This window comes from Homo sapiens, chromosome 14 (assembly GCF_000001405.40).
Source record: "Homo sapiens chromosome 14, GRCh38.p14 Primary Assembly".
In the NCBI taxonomy this organism is placed as follows: domain Eukaryota; kingdom Metazoa; phylum Chordata; class Mammalia; order Primates; family Hominidae; genus Homo; species Homo sapiens.
The window spans coordinates 73,709,799-73,735,623 of record NC_000014.9 but is presented as its reverse complement, the minus strand read 5'-3'; the positions used below and the strand labels follow the sequence as shown (position 1 = coordinate 73,735,623).

At 49.9% G+C, this 25,825-nt stretch overlaps 2 protein-coding genes across 9 annotated transcripts in view, besides 7 other annotated features; both read left to right on the top strand.

Annotated features, from left to right (window-relative positions):
• The window catches only part of MIDEAS (mitotic deacetylase associated SANT domain protein), a 75,164-nt gene extending 54,662 nt beyond the window's left edge, over positions 1-20,502 (top strand). For 5 of the 8 annotated variants that reach the window (XM_005268206.1, XM_047431913.1, XM_047431914.1 and 2 more), the window contains 10 exons: positions 5,639-5,984; positions 8,100-8,166; positions 8,652-8,794; positions 8,917-9,020; positions 9,516-9,591; positions 10,264-10,352; positions 12,777-12,926; positions 14,115-14,327; positions 16,123-16,319; positions 16,616-20,502. In XM_005268206.1, the coding sequence (XP_005268263.1) occupies positions 5,639-5,984; positions 8,100-8,166; positions 8,652-8,794; positions 8,917-9,020; positions 9,516-9,591; positions 10,264-10,352; positions 12,777-12,926; positions 14,115-14,327; positions 16,123-16,319; positions 16,616-16,781 (1,551 nt within the window). In that variant the 3' untranslated portion in view covers positions 16,782-20,502. Of the gene's footprint in view, positions 1-5,444; positions 5,985-8,099; positions 8,167-8,651; positions 8,795-8,916; positions 9,021-9,515; positions 9,592-10,263; positions 10,353-12,776; positions 12,927-14,114; positions 14,328-16,122 lie in introns of those variants that run through there. The other 3 variants (NM_001043318.3, NM_194278.4, XM_047431915.1) reach the window with 2 other exon arrangements.
• Positions 6,587-6,656: a silencer, noted in NCBI's record as "silent region_5915". NCBI's record gives its function as "represses an Ori minimal core promoter by ATAC-STARR-seq in GM12878 lymphoblastoid cells {active_cell/tissue: GM12878}" and the evidence as "EXISTENCE:reporter gene assay evidence [ECO:0000049][PMID:35858748]".
• Positions 10,616-11,815: an enhancer, noted in NCBI's record as "BRD4-independent group 4 enhancer chr14:74190512-74191711 (GRCh37/hg19 assembly coordinates)". NCBI's record gives its function as "activates an origin of replication core promoter dependent on BRD2, P300/CBP, MED14 and CDK7 cofactors, and independent of BRD4, by STARR-seq in HCT116 cells {active_cell/tissue: HCT116}" and the evidence as "EXISTENCE:reporter gene assay evidence [ECO:0000049][PMID:35650434]".
• Positions 16,199-16,809: an enhancer, noted in NCBI's record as "H3K27ac-H3K4me1 hESC enhancer chr14:74185518-74186128 (GRCh37/hg19 assembly coordinates)". NCBI's record gives its function as "activates a minimal SCP1, AML or CMV promoter by ChIP-STARR-seq in naive H9 embryonic stem cells {active_cell/tissue: H9 hESC(naive)}" and the evidence as "EXISTENCE:reporter gene assay evidence [ECO:0000049][PMID:30033119]".
• Positions 20,775-20,844: an enhancer, noted in NCBI's record as "active region_8708". NCBI's record gives its function as "activates an Ori minimal core promoter by ATAC-STARR-seq in GM12878 lymphoblastoid cells {active_cell/tissue: GM12878}" and the evidence as "EXISTENCE:reporter gene assay evidence [ECO:0000049][PMID:35858748]".
• Positions 21,065-21,344: a silencer, noted in NCBI's record as "silent region_5914". NCBI's record gives its function as "represses an Ori minimal core promoter by ATAC-STARR-seq in GM12878 lymphoblastoid cells {active_cell/tissue: GM12878}" and the evidence as "EXISTENCE:reporter gene assay evidence [ECO:0000049][PMID:35858748]".
• On the top strand, positions 21,240-23,841 carry PNMA1 (PNMA family member 1). Its single transcript, NM_006029.5, has one exon. The coding sequence runs from the start codon at positions 21,985-21,987 to the stop codon at positions 23,044-23,046; it is 1,062 nt and encodes a 353-aa protein (NP_006020.4). The 5' UTR covers positions 21,240-21,984; the 3' UTR covers positions 23,047-23,841.
• Positions 21,525-21,694: a silencer, noted in NCBI's record as "silent region_5913". NCBI's record gives its function as "represses an Ori minimal core promoter by ATAC-STARR-seq in GM12878 lymphoblastoid cells {active_cell/tissue: GM12878}" and the evidence as "EXISTENCE:reporter gene assay evidence [ECO:0000049][PMID:35858748]".
• Positions 21,785-21,844: an enhancer, noted in NCBI's record as "active region_8707". NCBI's record gives its function as "activates an Ori minimal core promoter by ATAC-STARR-seq in GM12878 lymphoblastoid cells {active_cell/tissue: GM12878}" and the evidence as "EXISTENCE:reporter gene assay evidence [ECO:0000049][PMID:35858748]".
• Positions 23,842-25,825: the final 1,984 nt, after the last annotated feature.

Genomic DNA, 25,825 nt, shown 5'->3' with positions numbered 1-25,825 from the left:
TCTGTATCCTTCTACTTAAGGTGTATCTTTCAAGTGGCATACATTGGGATTTGTTATTATCCAGTCTTTTAGAGAATTGATACAGTTTATATCTTTCTATTTATTTAAAAATTAACATAAAGTCTGGGCACAGTGGCTCACATCTGTAATCCCAGCACTTTGGGAAGCCAAGGCAGGTGGATCACTTGAGGCCAGCAGTTCAAGACCAGCCTGACCAACATGGCGAAACCCCATTTGTACAAAAATAGAATAAAATAAAATTAACATAAAAAGAATACATATTTATGGCATACAACATGATGCTTTGATATAATCAAGCTAATTAACATACCCATTACCTCAAATCTTATTTTTTTGTGGTGAGAACATTTAAAATCTGCTCTTTTAGCTATTTTGAAGTGTATAATACACTGTTACTAATGATAGTCATCATGTTATACAATAGATTTCCTGAACTTATTCTTTTTTCCTAACTGAAATTATATTTCGTTTGACCAGCATCTCCCCAGTCCCCGCCCCATCCCCTAACCCTTGGTAACCACCATTCTACTTTATGTTTCTTTGAATTCACCTTAAGATTCCACTGATACAGTTTGCATTTAATGTAATTACTTAAATACTTGGGTTAAAAGTTGCCATCTACTGTTAGCTGTTTCCCATCTTGCCTTTCCCATGTTCTCCTTTGGATTGATTTGATTTGTTATCCCATTTCCCCATTTTGTTAATTTATTAGTTATATTCTTGCATACTGCTCTTTTCATGATTACCCCAGCATTCTTCTTACCCGTATTTCTTCAAGAGAACTAAGCCCTACAGAAAGGGATTTGAGCAACTATTTCCTCCATTATCTGAAGGATGGGACATAGCTAGTACCATTTAAAAATGCACAGGAGGCCAGGTGCAGTGGGTTATGCCTGCAATCACAGCACTTTGGGGGGGCCAAGGCAGGAGGATCGCTTGAGCCCAGGAGTTCGAGACCAGCCTGGGCAACACAAGGAGAGACCCCATCTCTACAAAAAAACAAAAAACAAAACAACAACAACAAAAGATTAGCTGGGTGTGGTGGTGCACACCTGTAGTCCCAGTTTCTCAGGAGGCTGAGGTGGGAGGATCGCTTGAGCCCAAGAGGCCAAGGCTGCAGGGAGCTGTGATTGTGCCACTGCACTCCAGCCTGTGTGACAAAGTGAGACCCCTTTTCAAAACAAAACAAAAACAAAAAACCCAAACCCTGTTAAATGCATAGGAAAGAATTTAACTTATTATGTATAGTGAATGCCTAATGACATCAGGACTTAGCTCTTTGGTCAAGAAGAGTTGCTAGATATTAAAACATGTATCCTGGGCCGGGGGCAGTGGCTCACGTCTGTAATCCCAGCACTTTGGGAGGCCATGGTGGGCGGATCACGAGGTCAAGAGATCGAGACCATCCTGGCCAACATGGTGAAACCCCGTCTCTACTAAAAATATAAAAATTAGCTGGGCGTGGTGGTGTGCACCTGTAATCCCAGCTACTTGGGAGGCTGAGGCAGGAGAATCGCTTGAACCCGGGAGGCAGAGGTTGCAGTGAGCCAAGATCATGCCACTGCACTCCAGCCTGGGCAACAGAGCGAGACTCCATCTCACACAAAACAAAACATGTATCCTGGCTCACGCCTGTAATCTCAGCACTTTGGAAGGCCAAGGCGGGTGGATCACAAGGCCAGTAGTTCAAGACCAGCCTGGCCAACATAGTGAAACCCCGTCTCTACTAAAAATATAAAAATTAGCCGGGCATGATGGTGTGTGCCTGTAATCCCAGCTACTCAGGAAGCTGAGGCAAGAGAATCGCTTGAACCTGGGAGGTGGAGGTTGTAGTAAGCCAAGATCGTACCACTGCACTCCAGCTTGGGCAACAGAGTGAGACTTCGTCTCAAACAAAAACAGAAGAAAACATGCATCCTTGGCTTTTAGAAATCTGTTAGTACTTTTAGCTCTTCCTGGACAATGCAAAGTTCTTGTTTTTGTTTCTGGGTTTTTTGGGCGGGGGCAGGGGTTTGAGATGGAGTCTCACTCTGTTGTGCAGGCTGGAGTGCAGTGGCATGATCTCAGCTCACTGCAGCCTCCGCCTCCCAGGTTCAAGCGATTCTTCTGCCTCAGCCTCCTGAGTAGCTGGGACTACAGGTGCAGGCCACCACGCCAGCTAATTTTTTTGTACTTTTAGTAGAGATGGGGTTTCACCATGTTGGCCTGGCTGGTCTTGAATTCGTGACCTCAGGTGATCCACCTGCCTTGGCCTCCCAAAGTGCTGGGATTACAGGTGTAAGCCACCTCACCCGGCCCTGAATTACTTTAATCAGAGGTTGAAATGAGATGATTTGAAGCTAGGCTTTATTCCATATAAGGACCAGCCTATTTCTGATTCACCTTTATTCTGAATGAAAGTGAGTATCAGCCCTTTTTGGAGTCCCAATCCAAAGCCTGGGGGTTTGCCAAGCTCTCCTTCCTTGGCGAGCCCTAAACTTCAGCTTTGTTTTTTATTTTCTTTTTTTTTTGAGACGGGGTTTCGCCCTTGTGGCTCAGGCCGGAGTGCAATGGCTCAATCTCAGCTCACTGCAACCTCCGCCTCCTGGGTTCAAGCAATTCTCCTGCCTCAGCCTCCTTAGTAGCTGGGATTACAGGTGCCCACCACCACACCCAGCTAATTTTTTGTATTTTTAGTAGAGATGGGGTTTCACTATGTTGGCCAGGCTGGTCTCGAACTCCTGACCTCAGGCGATCCACCTGCCTCAGCCTCCCAAAGTGCTGGGATTATAGGCGTGAGCCACTGCACCCAGCCTTTTTTTTTTTTTTTTTTTTTTTGAGAGGGAGTCTCACTGTGTCACCCCGGCTAGAGTGCAGTGGCATGTTCTCCACTCACTGCAACCTCCGTCTTCTGGGTTCAAGGAATTCTTCTGCCTCAGCCTCCTGAGTTGCTGGGATTACAGGCGCCCACCACCATGCCCAGCCAATTTTTGTATCTTTAGTAGAGATGGGGTTTTGCCATGTTGGCCAGGCTGGTCTCCAACTCCTGACTTCAGGTGATCCACCCACCTTGGCCTCCCAAAGTGCTGAGATTACAGGCGTGAGCCACCACACCTGGACAAACCTCAGTTTTTATTGTGTCAGTTCCTTAAATTTCTTAAAAGCTCTTCTCAGTTTCTCAGCCTCTCAGTTGCCTTTTCCAGTAATAGCATTCACCTCTAGGGAAAACGCAGCTTCAAATACTGGGCTCACCTCTTTAGCTTTCTTTTTTTTCACCTAGATCTTGGCTCTTTAATTCTTTGCCAACCTATTTGTCCTCTGATATCTTCAGAAATGTGTTTTGCACATCGAGTCCAGATTTTCTGGTTATTCTCAGCTGGAGAGTTGGCCTGCATGCCTCTAATAGGCAGGGGAGCGTCACAGTCTCTGCTCTCTGGGTTCTTGTTCTCTGGTTGAGGAAAAGTTTGTGGTAGAGGCTGGAGGCCTGGGCAGCTTGTTCTGAGACAGGAAGGAGCCTGAGCAGCTCCACAGCTCAATGCCTCTATTTTATAGATGAGGAGCTAGGTCCAGAAAAGACAAGAGACTGACCTAAGGTCATACAGCCAAGTAATGGTAGAGCTAGCCCTAGAATTTGGATCTCCTCAATCCCTGCCTGTGAGTACTTGTACTACACCAGGCTTTGGGGGGAGGTTTGTGTTTTGTTATTTGTTTATTTCATTCATTATTTATTATTCTTTGTACTACAGATACTTTCTTTCATGCATAAAAGTAGAGAGGAGTATAATGAATGCCAGTGTTTAGCCATCACCCAGATTTCACAGTTATCAAAACATAGCCAATCTTGTTTCACCTGTGCCTCTGCTTCTCCATGCCACTGGGTTATTTTGAAGCACATCCTGAGACATCGTGTCATTCCATCCGTGTATACTTCAGTTTGTATCTGAAATACGTCAGGACTCTTTCTTCTCCAACATTATCTCAATAGCATTACCACACCTAAAAAATGAACATGACTATTTTTGTCAGATATTCAGAATAGTTTAAATCCCTTATTATAAAATTACAAATCATTACAGCTAGCTGATTTTTTGTTAGATTTCTTGTCAAGAAAGTTTGGGGGGCCTTTGGCTCCTGCATTTTTTTTTTTTTCTGTGCAATCATATTGTTTTCCTAAGGGAAGAAGAACGAACAGTTTCATTTCATCCCAATTTGTAGAAGGGAAAAGAGGGCACAGATGGGTGAAGGACATGGCCAGAGCCTCAGAGGGAGTCAGGGCCCTCTGCTGGAATGTGTTTATGGGAGCCAGAACCTTGGCAGGGAGACAGCTCATTATTTTAAGGCCCACTCTGTCAACATGGCCAACCTTACCTGTTGTACTGAGTACGCAGAGGGATAAACTGGGTGCTGCTCACCCTGTAGGGCTCCATTCTCTGCCTTTGAGATTATAGGAATCGAGCAAGGGAAGGCCTCTGTTCTCTTATAGTCCTGCTTTCTATTCTAGATAGAGGCCCATGAGGCGTACCTAGCAGGGAGAAGTAGGAGGGCTAACCTTTGGCAGTGTGCATGGGCTAGACTTTCCTAGTAGGATTAATACTATGAGAACAAAAGTTCTGCAAGGACAAGGACTGTCCATTCCATTTTTTTTTCTTTTTCCTTTTTGTTTTTTGAGACGGAATCCAGTTCTGTTGCCCAGGCTAGAGTGCAGTGGCACGACCTTGGCTCACTGCAACCTCCACCTCCCGGGTTCAAGTGATTCTCATGCCTCAGCCTCCTGAGTAGCTGAAATTACAGGCACCCGCCACCATGCCCGGCTAATTTTTGTGTTTTAGTAGAGGCAGGGTTTTGCCATGTTGGCCAGGCTGGTCTCGAACTCCTGACCTCAAGTGATCCCCTCCCCCCCACCTCGACCTCCCAAAGTGCTGAGATTACCACGCCCGGCCTTGTCCATTCCATTTTGTAGTCCCATGTCCAGCTCAGGTCTTAGCACGCAGTAGGAGCTTTCATCTAACGCAGAGCCTGGAGTTTAAGTAGTGATAACAGCCAATATTTACTGAGGTACCAGGTAATGTTCTCAGTGATTTCCTTGTATTAATTCATGCAGTCCTCATGGTTACCCCATGAAGTAGGCACTTACTAGGTAGGCACCATGTTATGAAGATGCACGGAAAGATTGAGTAATTTTCAGTGGCAATAAAGGTGGTAGGTCCCAACCCAAGAAGTCCAGCTCCAGAGCCTGGGCCCTGAACTACTGTACTCTCCTGCCCTGTCACACACTTTACAGCAGAGGTGGGGAACTGTGGTCTGGGGGCCAGATCCAGAGCTAAGAATGTGTTACAATTTTATACAGTTAGTTTTAAAAAGAAAAAGGGAAAGAAGAGGAATATGTAACAGAGATCACATGTGGCCCACAAAGCCTAAAATATTTACTCTCTGGCCCCTTACAGAAAAAGTTTGCTGACTTCTGCCCTAGAGGAGATGATAAAAAGGGCTTTTGGACCTGCTCCTTTTTTCAGGCTTGCCTTGGTGGGTGTGGTAGGCAGACTAAGTTCCAAAGGTGAGACTGGCAAGCTGTGGTTAAGACTTTACTTTCTCTGGGACACGGGGGGCTGAGCCGTCCTTGTTTTCTTTCCTTCTCCAGGCAGAGGACATGAATGTCAAGTTGGAGGGGGAGCCTTCCGTGCGGAAACCAAAGCAGCGGCCCAGGCCCGAGCCCCTCATCATCCCCACCAAGGCGGGCACTTTCATCGCCCCTCCCGTCTACTCCAACATCACCCCATACCAGAGCCACCTGCGCTCTCCCGTGCGCCTAGCTGACCACCCCTCTGAGCGGAGCTTTGAGCTACCTCCCTACACGCCGCCCCCCATCCTCAGCCCTGTGCGGGAAGGCTCTGGCCTCTACTTCAATGCCATCATATCAACCAGCACCATCCCTGCCCCTCCTCCCATCACGCCTAAGAGTGCCCATCGCACGCTGCTCCGGACTAGTGAGTGACCTCCCTCCGCGACCCTGGCAGGAGCGGGGCTGGGGCACTGGGCAGGGAGGCATCTCAGCCTGTGGGGCTGCTGGGGATTGGGCTGGAACACTCTGGGAGAAGGAGCTCTGCTCTGTCTTCTCTGAGATTGAGAAGGAGGTTGTCCTGGTTCAACAAGGAGGGGTGGGGGGCCCGCCCAGCTGCTTGGATTCAAATCTCAATTCTACCATTTACTATTACATCCACTTTTGCAAGTCACTTCAACTCCCTGGGCCTCAGTTTTTTCAGTATTAAGATGGGGATATTAGTATTACTTGGTTGATGATGAAACTGCCAATATTCAACTATTTTTGGATTCACAAATAGTAGTTTCCTTTGGTTCAACCTAATAGCCACTTCCTAGGCTCAGGTGCATTAGCACACATAAAGCTGGAACATCATGCCCAGGCCATCCTGTTTGCTCATAGTCCTTTGTGGCAGATCTAGTCTCTGGGGCTCTCGAACAGTCTTTTTGGCCAAAAGCAGACATTCTGGAAATATTGGGCTGGCTTGGGGTGATGTACTGCTGAAAAATGTTGCCCACTCCATAAAGAGATCCATTTCCTCTGCAAAATGGGATAATCCAATCCCTTAGGGTGGTAGAGAGGATTAAGTGGAAGTAGCTAGCTTATAGATGCCTTTGGCCAATTAACCTTTGACTGTGACCTCACCCATGGTGTAGCTCTCTGGTGCCCCCTGGTGTCTGTGGATGCAAAATGTTTGCCCTAGGCTGGCCAGCCTTCTGTACTGCTTCCTGGGGAGGCTTCTCCCTGGCTAGGCTGTGTAGGAAGAGGAAGTCATTGTAGAGATCAGACTGGCAGCCAGCGAGAGGTCAGTCTGTCCACGAGTATCTACCGAACACTCGGGCGTAAGGCCTTGTACTGGGTCCTGTGAGGGCTCCAAGAATGTACAGGACACCATGGTCTGTTCTATAGAGAATGCAAGGTCATTAGGGAGTTGACATGAAAGCCTTGGAGTTGAAAAAACAGAGGTTCCCGGTAGTGTGGGATCTGCAGCCAGTGAGCAAAGCCCCAGCAGCTAGCCTGGGATGGTGAGGACTGTATTCAAGAGGGGTGGGGCCAGAGCTGAGCCGCAGCGATGGAGGAGGGCGGGGGGCAGGGAGGACACACCAGGCGGAGGAAATGACTGGTGCAAAGGCCTGTAGATGGGACCGTGCAGGGAGAGTGAGGGGTTGGGAGGTAAGCAGTCAGCTAGGATGCAGGTCCAGGCACATGGGTGGTGGGAGGTACAAATGGAAGCGGAACCGCCTTGAACCCTGAGGGGAGGGTTGCAGGTTTTATCTCACATTGCAGGAGGGAGTCAGTAAAGAGCAAAGATTTTTTTTTTTTTTTTTTTTTAAGCAAAGGAGTGTTTTGATCATGTGGGGCCTTAAGAAGACCAACTTGGGCCTGGGCACGGTGACTCACACCTGTAATTCCAGCTACTTGGGAGGCTGAGGGAGGAGAATTGCTTGAACTTGGAGGTTCAACTCCTTGAGCCGAGATCGCACCACTGCACTCCAGCCTGGGCGGAGACAGAGTGAGACTTTGTCTCAAAAAGCAACAACAACAACAACAAAAACAAAAAAAAAACTAGCTTGGGAGAAACTGAGGCAGAAAATCCAAAGAGGAAGTGAGACGATAACTATAAAACAGCGATCCCCTTCACCACCTCCCTAGTGTGCTCAAAGTTTCAGTCTCTTTACTAGAAAACCACAGCTTTATGTTGGAGTTAGTGTTGGAGCTTCTGGGGGCAAGGATATGGCTTTGGTAGTAGAAGCAGTAATAATAATCTTTATCGAGTGCCAGGCTCTGTGCATTATTTTATCCAGTTCTCACATTAACCGTAGGAGACAGGTAGTGATAGCCCCTTTTGGTGAGTGTGAAAACTGAGGCACCCAAATATTTAGTGAAGGGCCTGCGTTTTCGTAGGTGACAGGCTGCAGAGCCAGGACTCAGGTGCCTGTGTTCCCTGCGTGAGCTCTGTGTGTCACCACTGTGACTCTTGCACATACAGGGCAGCCACTAGGATTGGGGGTGCTTTGCTGAAAGGGGGGTGCTATTTATCAACCTGCTCTTTGTCCCATAGACAGTGCTGAAGTAACCCCGCCTGTCCTCTCTGTGATGGGGGAGGCCACCCCAGTGAGCATCGAGCCGTAAGTGCAGCCCTGCCCCTGGCCGAGGGGTGTGGGTGGCCACACTGGTGCAGTGTGTGCAGGTGGGCCCTGGGAGCAACAGGAGGGTTCCGTGGGGCCTGCAGAGGGCTGAGAGGGCCTCCTTGAGCTTCTGTATGTGGCCCTGGGCTTTGCTGTCCCCGCCCTGCCTCTGTGTGGAAGTTGCAGGGAAGGGCAAGGACCGGCTCAGCTTGAACTTATCTCTAGGAGAGTTGAAAGGGGGGTCCAGAGGCTCTTTCCCATCTGTAAACCTGCAGCTGCTTCTCCCCTCTCCAGCCTCTGGACCTTGCCTTTCTGGTGGTGCCAGGTCAGGCTGTCCTCCCAAGCCCCTAGAAGCCAGACTCCCTACACCTAGCTGAGGCCTTGCTCTGCCGGCTCCCCCTCATCTTCTTCCCACCCTGAGGGATCATCAAGTTCTCCGTCCCCGCAAGGTGAGGCCTCACTTCCTGCCCTTTTCACTCCTCTAGACGGATCAACGTGGGCTCCCGGTTCCAGGCAGAAATCCCCTTGATGAGGGACCGTGCCCTGGCAGCTGCAGATCCCCACAAGGCTGACTTGGTGTGGCAGCCATGGGAGGACCTAGAGAGCAGCCGGGAGAAGCAGAGGCAAGGTGAGGAGGGGCCTGGGGGCAGCAAGTGAGGGCAGGCACATGGGTGGGCCAGGCCTCACCCTGCCCAGCCCCGCCCTGAACGTGGTTTCCTCCCCTCCCTCCTCATGCTCCTGTGGATCCAGTGGAAGACCTGCTGACAGCCGCCTGCTCCAGCATTTTCCCTGGTGCTGGCACCAACCAGGAGCTGGCCCTGCACTGTCTGCACGAATCCAGAGGAGACATCCTGGTGAGAAGGCAACCCCAGCAGAGGGAGGGCCCCTCAGTGGGGGCTGGCTTGGATCCATGTCTGCTGCTCAGGACCTATGGCTGCTGGCATGCACATTTGAGGCCAGTAGGAGGGTCTGACTAAGGAAGGGGCTGTAGGGGCTTGACCCAAGGGAGCCCTAGTTTCAGACCCCGGGTTTTGCTGTGCAGTGTCCTCCTGTCCATTCCCATCCCTGATTCTGGGTCAGTGGACTCAGACTGGATGGTTGCTGAGAGCCTTCTCCAGCAGTGCTGCCTCCCTTGGGGCCATGGACTCTCTTAAGAGGACCTGAGGTCTGTTTTCTGGGCAGCCCCACCCCCTGTGATCTCACCACCCCAGTGGACCCCTTATCTCTCAGCAGTTAAGGGGGCAAGAGTAAGTGTCCACCCTACTCGGGATTTTATCAGGGCCTAGAATGCTCCGTCCACCACCGACACCCCTGTCAGTGCCCTGACCCTTCCCTCACTTCCCCTCCAGGAAACGCTGAATAAGCTGCTGCTGAAGAAGCCCCTGCGGCCCCACAACCATCCGCTGGCAACTTATCACTACACAGGTGGGCCTGGCTGCGGTGGGCATGGTGCCTGGAGCCTCAAGAGGTCTCCAGCATCCATGGGGCCCTGCTCAGTGCTGAGTCACAGCCCTGGGTGGGGGCGGGAGGAGGAGGGTAGATAAGCCAAGAGTCAGAGTGAGGGAACTGCCACCAAAGCTGGGGTAGCTCTCCAGGGGTTTCCTGTGCCCTGGAGGGGAGGGGAGAAGGGAGTGGGCAGGTGGGAGACCATCCAGGCAAAAAAGCCCAGGCCACAAGGACAGGAACCCATGGAGAGCCATCCAGATTGGCATCAGGTACCTGGAACTTAGCCCCAGGAGTGCATGTCCTGTTCTGGTCACTTTAAGAAGGACATGGACCGAGTCACATAATCCTAACAGCCAATGTTTTCCATGCATGTTAGTGCTACATTTCATCTGCACCAGGCAGAGCACCAAGGGTTTCACATGCATTATCTTATTTAATCCTCACCACAGCTGGTGAGCTAGGTGATATTAGTTTCCATTTCACAAGCAAGGGAGCGAGGCTGTGAGGCACATGGAAGTGGGACGAGGAGCCGGCTCTGATGCCTGCAGAAACCATGGGCGGATGGCCTCACACTTTTTTGCTTGTCAAAATTGCCCTGCAGTGGCCAGGGCCCTGCCCACCTCACTCCCTGGCTGCCTCTTTGCCCCATAGGCTCTGACCAGTGGAAGATGGCCGAGAGGAAGCTGTTCAACAAAGGCATTGCCATCTACAAGAAGGATTTCTTCCTGGTGCAGAAGCTGGTGAGCTGGGCTCTGTTTCAGGGCAAATGAGGGCCAGGAGCTGCCTGTGTGACTTTGGGGCTCCCTCTGCCAGTGACCAATCCCTCTTAAAAAGCAGTCAGGTCAATGCTACTGAGTAGCCTCAGAGAGAATTTCCTAAACAATACAAGAAAGAGAAAGATAGGTCTCTTTTCCCTTTTGGTTCTAAGCATCCTTTCCTCACTTCAGGGTAGGGTGGCCAAGCTCTGGGGTCTCAATCCAGAAGGAGGCCTAAGTGGGCATCAGACTTAAAATAGGCAGGAGGAAGATGCGGAGGAGGGTGGCAAGTAGAGGTGAGCCATTCCCCAGAGGAAGATGCAGGGGGAGGGCACCCTGGGGTGAAGGCCACTGAGAGCCAGCAAGTGCCTGCGGAGCTGACCTGGGGGCCTCTGCCCACTTCCTTTGACCCAGAGTTGCCTTCCAGTAACTCAGCTGTTCAAGCCCACATTCCCTAGATTTATCTTGTCCTCTCTCCATATTCTTCTGGAAAAGCAGATGCTTTGCTAATCCAAGGAATTGCATCTTTCCAGCCCTGTCTCACAAAATCTGGGCTGTGGGGAGAGAGAATTGTGTGGACTGCCAAGGGAAAAGAGTTTTTAAAAAGAGCATGCCCTTTCCTCTTGGGATTGTAGATTGTATTGGGAACAGCCCTGGGGACTAGACAAAGTGCTGATGATGAATTCCCCTACAAGGGCCCTGTTGTGAGGAGTCCTTTGCTGTGTTTTAGTAACACGCTATTCCCTGATTGGGCAATACTGACGGGAAGTACACGCCCGTGAAATTCACGGAGGCGCCCCTAATGCCTAATGAAATGAGCAGACCTTTAGTCAGTCAAACAAAGGGTCAGAGAGAATTGACAGTAAATGTGTAAATGGCCTAATTAATACATGTGTGACTTGGCCATTTCTGTGAGATGAAACATGTCTGTTTCCTCCTCAGACACAAAGGGCCCACACTGACCCCTGGCCTCTCTGGACAGGAGCTCCCAGCCCAGCGGTGGCTGAGCAATGTGCGAGCCTGTGTGGTGGTGTCAGAGGAAACAGCCTCTGGGTGTGGGAAAGTTGCCCAAAAACTAAACCCAGTGGCCAAATAGATTTATGCAATGGGAGAGCTAGAATTTCAGAGCTTGAGAGGCAGGTCCCTGGAGATCATCTAGTCTTACTTAACCCCATTTGCTATTTACACATGAAAAAACTGAAATTAGAAAAGTGAGTGACTTGCCTAAGCTCGAATAGCTGTGTGGTAGCAGAGTCAGGAGGAAGACTTAGGCCTTTCGCTTCCTCCTCAGGTTTTCCAGGGCTTTCTTGTGAGTTTCCCTTGAGTTCCTCCCCCGACAGGGGACACTGTGACATTTCTGTATGCTCACTTCTCAGCCACTGCTCCCTGGAGAGAAATGAAATTGTTTGCCTGGATTAATGAAAAGCGTCTGTGTTGCCAGGTCAGGGCTGGCTTTGGATGTAGATGGTGCCCAGACCTTTTCCCTCAACTTTTCAGTTTGAAAAATTTCAAACTTAGAGGAAAATGGAAAGAACAGTAGAATGAACACCCATCCACCCCGGACTTAGATTTAGCAATCGTTAACATTGGCTATATTTGCTTTCTCTTTCTCTATGTCTAAACATAGACACACACATATACAGCTCTCTCTTGTTCTCTGATTCAGCTAATCATTAAAAGTAAGTTACAGTCATCCTGTCACATGACTAAAACCTTTCAGCACGTATCTCCTAAAAACCAAGATATTCTACAAAACCACAGTACCATTAGCACGCCCACGAAATTTAACCTGATAAAATAATTCAGGCCAGGCGAGGTAGCTCACGCCTGTGATTCCAGCACTTTGGGAGGCAGAGGCAGACGGATCACTCCTGAGGCCAGGAGTTTGAGACCAGGCTGGCCAACATGGCAAAACCCCATGTCTACTAAAAATATTTAAAAAAAACTAGCTGGTTGTGGTGGCACACACCTGTAATCCCAGCTACTCAGGAAGCTGAGGCACGAGAATTATTTGAACCTGGGAGGCGGAGGTTGCAGTGAGCCAAAATCGCGTCACTGCACTCCAGCCTGAGTGACAGAGCGAGACTCTGTCTCCAAAAAAAAGAAAAAAAAATACAGTAATGCCCTCTGATATGCAATCCATATTGCCATCTCCCGAGTGGTTCCGACATTGTCCTTTATAGCTTTTTTTATTTATTTACTTATTTTAAATAGTGCTGAAGCATTGATTAATTGATCAGTGGTTTGTTGCAGAGCAGGCATTGGAAAAATGCTTGTATTGCCTGGGTTGGCTGGGTTTCATTTTGGCTTGAAGTTAAGGGAAAGATGCAGGGACGAGAAAGGCTGGATTCTCCACAGGCAGATGAGCCAAACCAGAGGGTTCTGACCTCAGTTTTGACTTCAAACCAGATCCAGACCAAGACCGTGGCCCAGTGCGTGGAGTTCTACTACACCTACAAGAAGCAGGTGAAAATCGGCCGCAATGGGACTCTAACCTTTGGGGATGTGGATACGAGCGATGAGAAGTCGGCCCAGGAAGAGGTTGAAGTGGATATTAAGGTGACTCCTTTTCCAACCTCAGCTGCATAGAGCCTGGGCTGGGTCTGGGACCAGGCCTGAGCTGGGAGCCCGAGCCCGAGCTCTCCAGGAGCCTGCAGAGGGCAGGTTGAGGAAGACAGTGTCCCTGACAGCCGCAAGGAGCCCTGGACCGCTGGGTTCTCCTCTCTATACTGCTGGTGTCATAGTAATAATACATTGTGTTGATACACAGGGTAATTTTCCCACAAGATTCACACCAGCATCATCTTCCTATCTCCGCTTAGCAGACCTCTAACACTGTTTCTCAAACCTCAGTCATTCTTGTATCACCTTTTTGATTTCTGCCATATCTGCATCCTACCATGTGTCGCCATTAGAATTTTTGTCATATTCATATACTACTTGTGCCATTACTTAATATTTTCCTTTAAGTCAACTCATTTTTTACTCAGAAGGGAAGTTTTATATCACAGTGATAAATAGAAAACCAAGGTTGTGTGCTATAAATAGAAGGTACTGGTAAAAATATATGTGAAAACCAGTATTACTGAATTCTAGCTAGATGCTGTGTTACCTGCCAAGGCTGAGACTGAGGGCTGACCTTGCTTTGTTAAAGAGATTATCAAGTCTAGAGAAGTATAAAAGACACATTAGCAGCAACCAGAGACTGAGTCCTTGGCATAATCAGGATTGAAAGAGAATTAAAAGGGAAGGTTACTTAATCCTATGTCCATGTATCCACCTAGCATCATTTTTGGGATTGCAAATCCACGCTTGGTGACATGCTACGGTAAGACAGGGAGTGGTTTGCTGCCCATTTTGCAGGCAGGAAGGTAGTAGAGCTACAGAAAGCATTACAAAGATAGTTTGGAATTGGAACTCAAGGCTTCTGCCTGGCTCACCACATCATTGCCGAGGATGCCTCCTGGTCATCTGTCCAGGAGGATGGGTGGCAATGGGGAGTGACTGGTATGTACCCTCCTTGCCCCTCGTTCTCTCTCAGGTGCTCCCAGGGCTTGAGACTCTTCTGTCCCCATGGCTACTATGCCATGGGGACAGAGTCCAGAGTCCTAGTACAGAAGACTATGCTGGGCCAGCCAGGCGAGCAGGACTAGCTGGGGCTGGTGAACCCCCCGGCCGGGTCAGAATCTGTGCTACAGCAGTGAGACAGAGCTCTAGGCTCACTGCCCTTGTTCTTGTTCCCCATAGACTTCCCAAAAGTTCCCAAGGGTGCCTCTTCCCAGAAGAGAGTCCCCAAGTGAAGAGAGGCTGGAGCCCAAGAGGGAGGTGAAGGAGCCCAGGAAGGAGGGGGAGGAGGAGGTGCCAGAGATCCAAGAGAAGGAGGAGCAGGAAGAGGGGCGAGAGCGCAGCAGGCGGGCAGCGGCAGTCAAAGCCACGCAGACACTACAGGCCAATGAGTCGGTGAGTGTGACCACCATGGGCTGAGCCCAGGGCAAGCAGGGTGGAGCTGGGCCTGGGGGCGTGGGAGGGAGGGTAGAGCAGGACTGTGATCCTCATTATAATCATAATAGCAGGAAATGTGTGAAGTACTTTGTGCTGTTAACTCATTTAATCCTCACTACCCTATGTGGTTAGGTATTACTGTTATTCCCATTTTATAGATGGGGAAATTGTGGCCCAAGATAACACAGCTAGTAGGCAGCCTGAATCCAGAGTCTGCGATTAATTTTTATACTCTACTGCTTCTGTATCTGAGATTCAGAGGGAAAAAGGTTTTGTGAAAACCCAGTAGGTATGTGGGTCACTGAGGGAGCATTGGTGGTTTGCAGACAGGGCTCCCCTAAGAGAGCCAGAGTCCCTGACAAGAATGAGACTGAGCTGAGACCATGGGAATGACAATCATAGGCCCTCAGGCATGATCTCTGCAAAGTGCTTTCATTTCCATTATCTCATTAGTTCCTCACACTGCAGAGTTAACCTCTACTCTGCAGATGGGGGAAAGCAGTTCAGAGATGCTAAGTGACTTGCCCCAGGTCCTTGGACTCCTAGTGCAGTGCTCTGTCCACCATATCACAGGCCAAGAAACAAGACTACTGGCCATAGTTGCTCCTTGCCAGGGAGAGTTCTCCCAGAAAGGGGTAAGGAGGGGAAGGGGTTTATTGGGGAGCTGCTGCTTTTTTAGAGTCTTTTTTTTTAGAAATGTATGTAGTAGGCCGGGCGCAGTGGCTCACACCTGTAATCCCAGCACTTTGGGAGGCCAAGGTGAGTGGATCACCTGAGGTCAGGAGTCGAGACCAGCCTGGCCAACAAGGTGAAACCTCATCTCTATTAAAAATACAAAAACTAGCTGGGCATGGTGGTGCACGCCTGTAATCCCAGCTACTCCAGAGGCTGAGGCAGGAGAATCACTTGAACCCAGGAGGTGGAGGAGGCGGAGGTTGCAGTGAGCCAAGATCATGCCACTGCACTCCAGCCTGGGTGACATAGCAAGACTCCATCTCAAAAAAAAAAAAAAAAAAAAGGAATGTGTGTAGTACACTCATGCTTACAGAGCTCCCATAAACTGTAAACACACGGCTGTGTGCCCACTTCTGAGCCTCGACCACCTGCACCAAGAGCTGTGCTCTGTGTAGCGCTCTACAGAGTTCTGTTGACTTTTGTGAACTTTCCCATGAGGGTGCCACTTCTGATGGCCACCCGGGGCTTCCCCAGCCGAGGTCACCTCTGCTCCCTCTGCTCTGCACTCTGACCCCTGCCCTTGCCCTGTTTGGTGTCCCTGCAGTGCGCTGTCCTGAAGTAGCTACCTGCGCATCTGTCCCTTCCACCAGATCCTCAGCTCTGAGGGCAGGGATGCCTGTGTCAACCTCTTTGTCCCTAGCATCTGGCCCATCACAGGGGCCTGAATCTCATTTATAGAACAGGGCATGAGCGGACTAAATGACAGAAAACATCAACAGGTAGGTGCTTCATTAACCCAGAGACCAAGATCCCCTGTCAGGCGCATCAAGGCCTCTAGCAGCTCGGGCTGCCCCACAGAATTACTCTAGCAGCAACTTTGTAAACGATAGAGCTGACCAGAGATGCAGAGTTGGAGGAGGCAATGGTCGTCATATCCCTGGAAGGACCCAAGTGCATGCTAGGTGACTGTTTGGCAGGAATATATATGACTTTTCAGGCCCCCGGTTCCCTGCGATTTTAGAATTCCAGATCTGCGCTTGCTCAGATCACTCAACTCTCCTTGTTTGATTTTCTTCAGGCCAGTGACATCCTCATCCTCCGGAGCCACGAGTCCAACGCCCCTGGGTCTGCCGGTGGCCAGGCCTCGGAGAAGCCAAGGGAAGGGACAGGGAAGTCACGAAGGGCACTACCTTTTTCAGAGAAGAAGAAAAAAACAGAGACATTCAGTAAGACCCAGAATCAGGAGAACACTTTCCCCTGTAAAAAATGTGGCAGGTAAGGTGGGCAGCGCTGTCCCCGCTGGGACCCCCGCGGGCTGGTGCGCGGAGGGGGCGGGGGTGGGGTGGAGGGGAGGGGGAAGAGGTACAGGCGGTGTCCGCCTCGTTTCTGGTTGGCTCAGCGGGTTTCTAGGGCTGTGACGTCATGGGGCAGCTTTCGGAAAATGACGCGAGCTGGCCGGCCGCGGCTGTGCAGCGTGGGGGTGAAGGTGAAGGCTGGGGCTCCTCGCGCACCCGCGCTGGGGGCCCCCGGGTGGGCTAGGCCGGTTCTGAGCAACCCCCACCCGGCTGCAGGGTGTTTTACAAGGTGAAGAGCCGCAGTGCGCATATGAAGAGCCACGCAGAGCAGGAGAAGAAGGCTGCAGCGCTGAGGCTGAAGGAGAAAGAGGCCGCTGCTGCCGCCGCCGCCGCCCACCAGCAGGCCCTGCGGGAGGAGAGCGGTGCGGGCGACAAGGGCTGAGCGCGGGAGCCAGGCTGGCCCAGTCCTGGGCCTCGGCCCTTCCCGCACCGCCGCCAGCGCCCGCAGACACCCTGGCATCTCAAGAGGGAGTGAGGAGAGGATTGCAGGGACTTTTCCCTGCGAAACAAATGAGACAATGACATAAACGGCTCTTTTATTTATGAAGGCCCTGGGAGCAGCGTTAAGGGCTCCAGGATCCAGCTCTCTTTGCATTTGGTCTGTCGGAAGCTGTCCTCGTGCTTTCCTGGACCGGGAGAGTCCCGGTCCCCTCGGGAGGGACTCCACCGCCTCTCACACTCCGATTTCTGCTGCTCTGCTGCCCCGCAGTCTTTTCCCTTTATTTGCTTCCCCCTCCTCCCCTCGGCCTCCAGGAAGCCACCGTGGCCGGCCAAGCACAAGCTCACCCACTTTGGAGCAGCATTTCTCCTCCCCAGAGGACCTCGAAGGCTGCAACGGCCCTGCCCCAAGCCCCAGAAAAAGAAACTCTTGGAGGGAGTCTGCGGGCTTCTCTGAGAAGGGGCGCAGCCTGACACCTGTGCTGTCCCTGCAGTCTCTAGGCCTGTCTGAGCTGCTCCCGTGACCGTGTCCTGAGTGGCCACCTCCTCCTTGGGAGGGAGGCCGCGGCAGGTACTCTCCCTTTGCTGCTTGCTGGCGGCCTTGCTAGGGCTAGAAAGTTTTCTCAGCGTTGGGGGAGGGGCTAGCGTTCTTGTCCAAAGCACTCATCCTGCTGCAGGGAAGGGAGCTGTACGGAGGCTGGAAGCTGCAGGGTTAGGCCCGAGAGAGCTTTTGACAAGCCTGGCTCTTCCTGCTTCCCACCTTTTTGGCTGAATACCTTTGGGTCCTGGAGGCTGCCAAGGGCGCTTCGCCTTGAGCAGGTCCCGGAGAGGCTCAGCCTGCCCCTCCTGGGGCCAGCCTCCTTGCCTCTGCTCTGACCTCAGCAGCTACACCTAACCCCACCGCACCCTACCCAGTGTCGATATCCACAACCCAGCCCCCAGGCCTGCACTTTGGAGATTTCTGGATCCTTCCCTGGGAGGGAGAGGTCTCCTAACTCGATTGGACAGGAGCCTTCATTCCTTGACTCGTGTCATTTGGGAGCTATTTATTTATTCTTAGTATTTAATTTTTAACATCCTCTCAGGGACCAGGGGCCTCCTGCTTTTCAGAGGCCCGAGTGCATTTATCCCAAAACGAGGCATCTTGACATCCCCTATCCCCACCCCCTAAATTCCCAAGGCCCTAAGGTCCCTCACCTGGTTGCTCTGGAAGCTCTTGCTGATAGGAATGATAGCAACACTGAAAGAGCGTGGGAAGGTGGAGGGTGTCACCAGACCCACACAGAGCAAGGGAGATTAAGGCAGTTCTTGCTGCCCCTTCTCTGGCTGTGCTTTGCCTGAGGGAAGAGTTGGCAAGAGGCCAGAATTCTAGTTTGGTTTATGGGGCCTGGATTCTGGCTTGAAGAAGCCATATTTGGCATGGGTGAAGTGAAAGGGCCAGGAGGTTCTGGAGGCCCCTTCACTTCCAGTCCCATAGCGGGGCTCAGCTATTTTTCTGATCTTATTCAACTTTAGTTGTGCAAAAGAAATTCTAAGTGAATGCGCGTATGACAGGTCAACGTATTAGGAAGGAGCCAGAAAGTATTCATACTGCTACTCCTTATGAGATAGCCAAGAAGCATCATGTCAGTAACTGGGAGTGGAGAGGGAGTTTTGTTTTGAAACTATGCAGGTATTTTTCAGCATCCATTTGTACATTAGTATGGTTCTACAGGACCCCAGCTGTGGAAGTAACAAATTTCTTCTCCCTCCAGACTCTTGGATGACTACCTAGATCCCCAGCTTACCGGTTAGTTTCCTCCACAGGCTTCCATGAGCTCAGTGTCCCAAGACAGCAAAAATCTGGTATACCCTGTAGAAGCAGGGGGGTAGCAAATTTAGGCTCTCTTCGAAATTACTTGTACAATACGAGTGCCTTCGCAGCTTAGCCCCAAAGTGCTACTTATGTTTCCCAAGGTCTTTTCTATTCAAATCATATTTGGTTTCAGGCCCCTTTATGGGCATACGGTAACAGAAACCTCCATCATTCATATGAGACCCTTTTGTCAGTGGTAACATCTTGTACTTGGAAAAAAAATTTTTTTTTTTTTTTTTTTTTTTTTTTGAGACAGAGTCTCATTCTGTCGCCCAGGCTGGAGTGCAGTGGTGTGATCTTGGCTCACTGCAACCTCCGCCTCTTGGGTTAAAAGAATTCTCCTGCCTCAGCCTCCTGAGTAGCTGGGATTATAGGCACACACCACCACACCCAGCTAATCTTTTTGTATTTTTTTTTTTAGTAGAGACAGGGTTTCGCCATGTCGGCCAGGCTGGTCTTGAACTCCTGACCTCAGGTGGTCCACCCGCCTCGGCCTCCCAAAGTGCTGGCATTACAGGCGTGAACCACCGTGCCTGGCCGGAAGTCTTTAAAAAATAAAGTGATTCTACTCTTCTAAGCTTACAGAGACCAGACCAGGTGAATGTAACTGGGGAAAATCAAGATGGTACCTCTCTGCATTATCCCGCCAGACACTGTATTTTATGCATTCATGTCTAGGATACAGTGTGAAAATTAAAAAGTTTAGAGGGCAGATGCAATTGTGGCAAGTGACCTGCCAATAAAGCAGGTGCAGCTATAGAAGCTGGCATAGGTATATCCTTAATGGTGCTTTCTCCCTGGGCTTGTCTTTTTGTTGTTTTTTTCCCCCTATATTCAGAGCTCCTTGAGAAGTGATAAACACCTCCAGCTTTCTAACATCCTCCCCACACCATCTCACCATATCCATCTCCCAGCATCCATCTGCATTCAGCTAAGGGCGGGAAACTGACCTAGTGCCTGTGTTGCAGACCATTTCTGAGGTCTCCACCATCCAAGGAGGCACAGCCGTCATTACTGTCCTCCATGCCTTCAGCAGCCCCCCTCACAGCTAAGGTACATACCACCCCTTCTGCCGCGCCTCCACCCCTGGCACCAAGGTCTTCTGCTGCTTATGTCTAAAGGGATCACCTATATTTAACTGCCTCAGTGACCTAACCTCTTTCTTCTCATGTGCCAGATGTTAAGATGAAGGAGGAATACAACACATACTCAAGCCTCAGCCTGTTTAGTTGTTTTCACTGGGGCTCGCTTTTCTGGGACGGTATTTATTATCAGACTGGCAAGCCTAACTCCATAGGTTTACAGGAAGTAGGGATATTTTTATAAAACAATTGTGTCCTCCCCACATTTTGCTATGTTAATATTTGCTTCTAACAATTTGCAGCTGTTTCACTTTTTCCTCATTTGTCTCTAAGTTGAAGGCTTTGTTGGAGGGGACAGAGCACAGGAACAGCCTTGACAGTCTGTAATTATTGTACAGATATTTTAATAGCATATAAATAAGTATATTCCTTTTATTTTGAAACAAAAATGATCAGACACTGCCTTTTGTGTGTTTGCTGCCTGTGGCATCCTTTTTTAAAAAGACTGTTACATATTAAAATAGTGTACATATATAAATATTACCTCTTTTGCTGTACAGTTGTGATAGAGACTGAAGATTTTATTTTTTGTGTGCTTTTTATAAGAAAAAAATTAATACACTAAAGAATCTTGCTGATGTGATTGTAATGTACCTATGTAACTTATTTACTTTTGAATGTTCTTCTGTATCTTTAAACCTTTTATTAAATAAGGTTTTAAAAATTCAGAGTTGAATGCTTTGTTCTCTTGGGATTTTCACCATCTGGGGTTGATGTAAGTGCGCCTTGTCTTGCTTGCAGGGAGATTACTCGACATTTTTGAACCATAAGGATTCTCTTTTAGCAGCCTATTGTCAATGATGCCAGCCAGGAAAAGGAAAATAATACACTAATGTTTGCCTGGCTAAAAGATGACTCAGTAGACACAGACAGATTTTTACAAAATTTTAGACAAGAAAAAGTCTAAACTCAGTGTCTCACACAAATACACAGAAATGGCGCACTCCGACATTTTGGCTTCATTGGGATGAAATATGCAGGGTGCACAGTGTGGTCAGGGGCAACGGGAAGCCAGGGTTCTGAGGAGAGTATTTTCACGTGCAGGGTGGACTGGCTGAGCAACCCGAGTAGACAAGTCCACCATGAGGGATGCATTTCCAACAATATCATCTTAAATCCACTCCAGGATTGGGTTATTATTTTTAAAACACGGTGCTTAGTAGTAGTTGTTTACTGTTAAAATGCTAAATTATGAAAAAGGAAATGCGCCATCAGAGAAACAAATGCCCGAGCCCCTCGCTGGCTCCACGGCAACCGCTCGACCCCCGCGAGCCGCCGGAGCAGGCGTGCCTCGCGCCGGCTGGGACACCGTTGCCATGGAGACGCCCGAGCAGCTCCGCCGCGGGGGCGGGACGGGGCGGGGCGGGGCGGACGCCGCTCGCCGGCTGGCCCCATCCTCCACTGCAGCAGTAACGTCGCGGCGGGTTGCGGGTAGGACTGGACGCCAGAGCAGCCGCGCAGCGCCTGAACCGCTGCGGGCCGCCGCGGCCGCCCCTTCCCACCCTCGCCTCTGCTGTCTCCAGCCTCGCTTCTCCGACTTTCCTGCTCCTCTGCTGCCTTCGTTTCTGGTCCTCGGCCGTCCTCGCCGCCCGCCCAGAGGAGTCCCCGCGCCCGCCAAGAAGCCGCTTTCCGCTGGCCCGCAGCCGCCGCGACTTCGGCACAGTTTCTCCCTCTGGCTAGTCTCCCAAACGGCCGCTCCTCGCCCGCGGGAAGACCAGGCTGCGACCGCGAACGCCCGATCCTCTCCAGGAGCCGCAGCGAGCGCCCGGCGGCCACGCCCCGCGACCACACCCCGGCGGCTCTCGGCCCAGCGCGCCTGCCTTCGCCGCCCGCCGTCGCTCCTCGCCCGCTGCACGACGACGCGACGCCCCTGCTGCAGGCGGCGGACCCGACCGGACCCAGACCCAGACGCAAGATGGCGACGGCCGCGTGACTGCCTCAGCGTCCCCGAGCTCGGCTCCGAGTGCACCTACGGACTGACTGTGGGGGCAGAGAAGGGCGAGATCAGGACTCTGTCTTTGTTAATCGTGACTGCATGAAGGTCGCCTCCCTCGGGCCTACTTGGTGGGAGTGTCTGGTATTGTTCTAAGGCCAGGAGCACGGTGAGCCACAGTCTGTTGGTAGAATTTGGCGTCTTGATAGTTGAGAAAATGGCGATGACACTGTTGGAAGACTGGTGCCGGGGGATGGATGTGAACTCCCAGAGAGCTCTGTTAGTCTGGGGCATCCCAGTGAACTGTGATGAGGCTGAAATCGAAGAGACCCTCCAGGCTGCGATGCCCCAGGTCTCCTACCGAATGCTTGGGAGAATGTTCTGGAGGGAAGAAAATGCGAAAGCAGCCTTATTAGAGCTCACTGGCGCTGTAGATTACGCCGCGATCCCCAGGGAGATGCCGGGCAAAGGAGGGGTCTGGAAAGTGTTATTTAAGCCCCCAACTTCTGATGCTGAATTTTTAGAAAGATTGCACCTCTTCCTAGCTAGAGAGGGGTGGACCGTGCAAGATGTTGCCCGTGTCCTTGGGTTTCAGAACCCTACTCCGACCCCGGGCCCAGAGATGCCAGCAGAGATGCTAAACTATATTTTGGATAATGTTATTCAGCCTCTTGTTGAGTCCATATGGTACAAGAGGCTGACACTTTTCTCGGGGAGGGACATCCCAGGGCCTGGAGAGGAAACCTTTGATCCCTGGCTGGAGCACACTAATGAGGTCCTAGAGGAGTGGCAGGTGTCCGATGTAGAAAAGAGGCGGCGGTTGATGGAGAGTCTTAGAGGCCCCGCCGCTGATGTTATTCGCATCCTTAAGTCCAACAACCCCGCGATAACCACTGCCGAATGCCTGAAGGCGCTTGAGCAGGTGTTTGGGAGCGTTGAGAGCTCTAGGGATGCCCAGATCAAATTTCTGAACACTTATCAGAACCCGGGAGAAAAATTGTCTGCTTATGTCATTCGTCTGGAGCCTCTGCTACAGAAGGTGGTAGAGAAGGGGGCCATTGATAAAGATAATGTGAACCAGGCCCGCCTAGAGCAGGTCATTGCCGGGGCCAACCACAGCGGGGCCATCCGAAGGCAGCTGTGGCTTACCGGGGCTGGGGAAGGGCCAGCCCCAAACCTCTTTCAGTTGCTGGTGCAGATCCGTGAGGAGGAAGCCAAGGAGGAGGAGGAGGAGGCTGAGGCCACCCTTCTGCAGTTAGGCCTGGAAGGGCACTTCTGAGTGCCAGGAAAGGCAGCTTTAGTGCAGACCTAGATCACAGCTACTTTTCTTGTCCCTGTGGGGTCTTACAGATGTGTCTCTGAGTAGTAAAGGCTTAGCCTTGTTCTGTTTTGTTGTTTTTTGGAGGGGAAGGTTAGTCAGGCCTGAGTATTCATGTAACATTCTAAAATTGTGCCAGCGAGCACCGTGAACGACTGCAATGCAAGCGGGTCTTGCTGGCTAAAATGCCAGGTAAAGGGTTGGTTGGACACAGCGCTTAGTGCACGCTGTCATCATGGACATCATAATCAGTTGTGAAAAACACGCGAACCTATGACACTTCTTATTCCACACTGAATGTGAAATTGCATGTTCAGATGTTTACTACGAGGCCTGGCTCACAGGAAGTGTTCAGTAAAAGTATGCACTGTTAGATTACTGATAACGCGGATAGATTTTTGTTTACCATAAATTGTTCCAGATTTATATTAATGGAAGGAAGTGTGCATTTATTAGCTATTACTCAACTTTACAATGCAAACATCTTATTTCTCATCTTTAAACATGTCGACCAGTTTAATTGAAAAGTATTCTGAGACTGCAAAATGGGGTGTTAAAAAATACTGCAGTTACGGAGCTGTGTAAACCAGTTTCTCATTGCATAAGATACAGATGTAAATTGCATGGAGAGGTTGATATGCACCTGTACAGTAATTCACTCCCCCATTTCACATCTTTGTCAGAGAATAGTTCTTGTTCATACTGAGTGTTCTAAATTTGAAGTTATATATACAAATTAAAATATTTTAAAAATTCTGTTGTCTTCTCATTTTTCTGGCATGTATAAACATTTTTAGCCTAAGTAAACTGTCCTTTTTTCTTATGAAGACTTTGTCATTAAATCAAACCATTTATTTTAAGCTTTGTATGATACTATGTGAATTTAAATGGCAGGTCCTTTTTTTCCTTCCCCTCTTGCTGTCATCTTAACAGTTTTTTGTTTTGTTTTTTAATTTTTAAAATTTTTTATTTTTATCGGGCAGAGAGGGTCTTGCTCTGTTGCCCAGCCTGGAGTGCAATGGAGCGATCTCGGCTCACTGCAACCTCTGCCTCCCGGGTTCAAGTGATTCTCCTGCTTCAGCCTCCTGAGTAGCTGGGATTACAGACATGCGCCACCACGCCTAGCTAATTTTGTATTTTTTTAGTAGAGACGGGTTTCACCATGTTGGTCAGGCTGGTCTGGAACTCCTCACCTCAAGTGATCCACCCACCTCGGCCTCCCAAAGTGCTGGGATTACAGGCGTGAGCCACCTCGCCGTCTCTACTAAAAATACAAAAATTAGCCGGGTGTGGTGGTGCGTGCCTGTAATTCCCGCTACTTGGGAAGCTGAGTCAGGAGAATCGCTTTGGGAGGCGGAAGTTGCAGTGAGCCGAGATTGCGCCATTGCACTGCAGCCTGGGCAACAGAGTGAGACTCCATCTCAAAAAAAAAAAAAAAAAAATTTAGATACCAGATTTGGCTCACACTTGTAATCCCAGCACTTAGGGAGGATTGCCTGAAGCCAAGATTTTGAGACCAGCTTGGGCAACATAGACCCAATCTCCACCCAAACTTTTAAAAATTAGCCAGGCATGGTGGCACACGCCTGTGGTCCCAGCACTAAGGTGGCCACCCAGCGGCTAAGGTGGGACATCGCTTGAGCTCAGCAGGTTGAGGCTGCAGTAAGCCATGATCGTCCCACCGCACTCCAGCCTGGTGATAGAGTGAGACCCTGTTTCTCAAAAAATTTTTTTTTAGAAAATCTTGAAATGGGGTTCAGGAGGTTATCTGGCAGTGTTTTTCTCTTAAGATCACTTTTCAGCTAAACATTTTGTTTCACTGAAGAAATAGCTATAATTCATCACACCTGTGTAAAATGAAGGCTATTTTACAGCAACCATTTTATAGCAGGACGATATAAAAAGGGAAATACAACTTTAAAACATGTTTATTTTGCTGCAAAGATTCAGTGATTGAAGATGTCCATCTTTTGAGATCCTCAGTGAATCTAAAGTTATTACATGAATATTGTGTTCAGTGAGCCTTTCCCTAATAAGGTTTTAAAATTATAGCTGAGCCATTCGACAAGTCTATAAGGGGTAATGTATGTTCTTCCAGATTTTTCGGTACACGTATTCGCTTCATGTCAGTACATCCCTTTCCTCCTGTCACAAAAACATCTCCACATACTTGCCTTGGTTCCCAACAGATATGCTCAGCTTCACTTACCACAAACACTTGGCATGTCTTCACCTGCTACCCATCATTCACAGAACTTTCCCCTCCATTCCCACCAGCATCAGGTGCACACTCACCCCTCTTACACTCTTGACACACTGTCATCTCCCCGTCAGTACTCCCATCATAACATACACCCTCCTCCTGCTCCACATGTACACGATGTCAGTCTCCCACCCCCAACATATATTCCCATTTCTCCTCACACCCACACACACTCCCACCACCAAACACCAACCAGCCACCACATATGTATACACACTCCCACTCCACACATATACACACATACTGCATTTTTTTTTTTGAGACGGAGTCTCGCTGTGTTGCCCAGGCTGGAGTGCAGTAGCGTAATCTCAGCTCACTGCAACCTCTGTCTGTTGGGCTCAAGTGATCCTCCTGCCTCAGCCTCCCAAGTAGCTGGGATTACAGGTGTGTGCCACTACGCCCGGCTAATTTTTGTATTTTTAGTAGAGACAAGGTTTCACCATGTTGGCCGGGCTGGTCTCAAACTCCTGACCTCGT

Bases quoted from the DNA above. Each gene is read 5' to 3' on its own strand.
- PNMA1 (NM_006029.5), top strand. From the start codon at position 21,985: ATGGCGATGACACTGTTGGAAGACTGGTGCCGGGGGATGGATGTGAAC.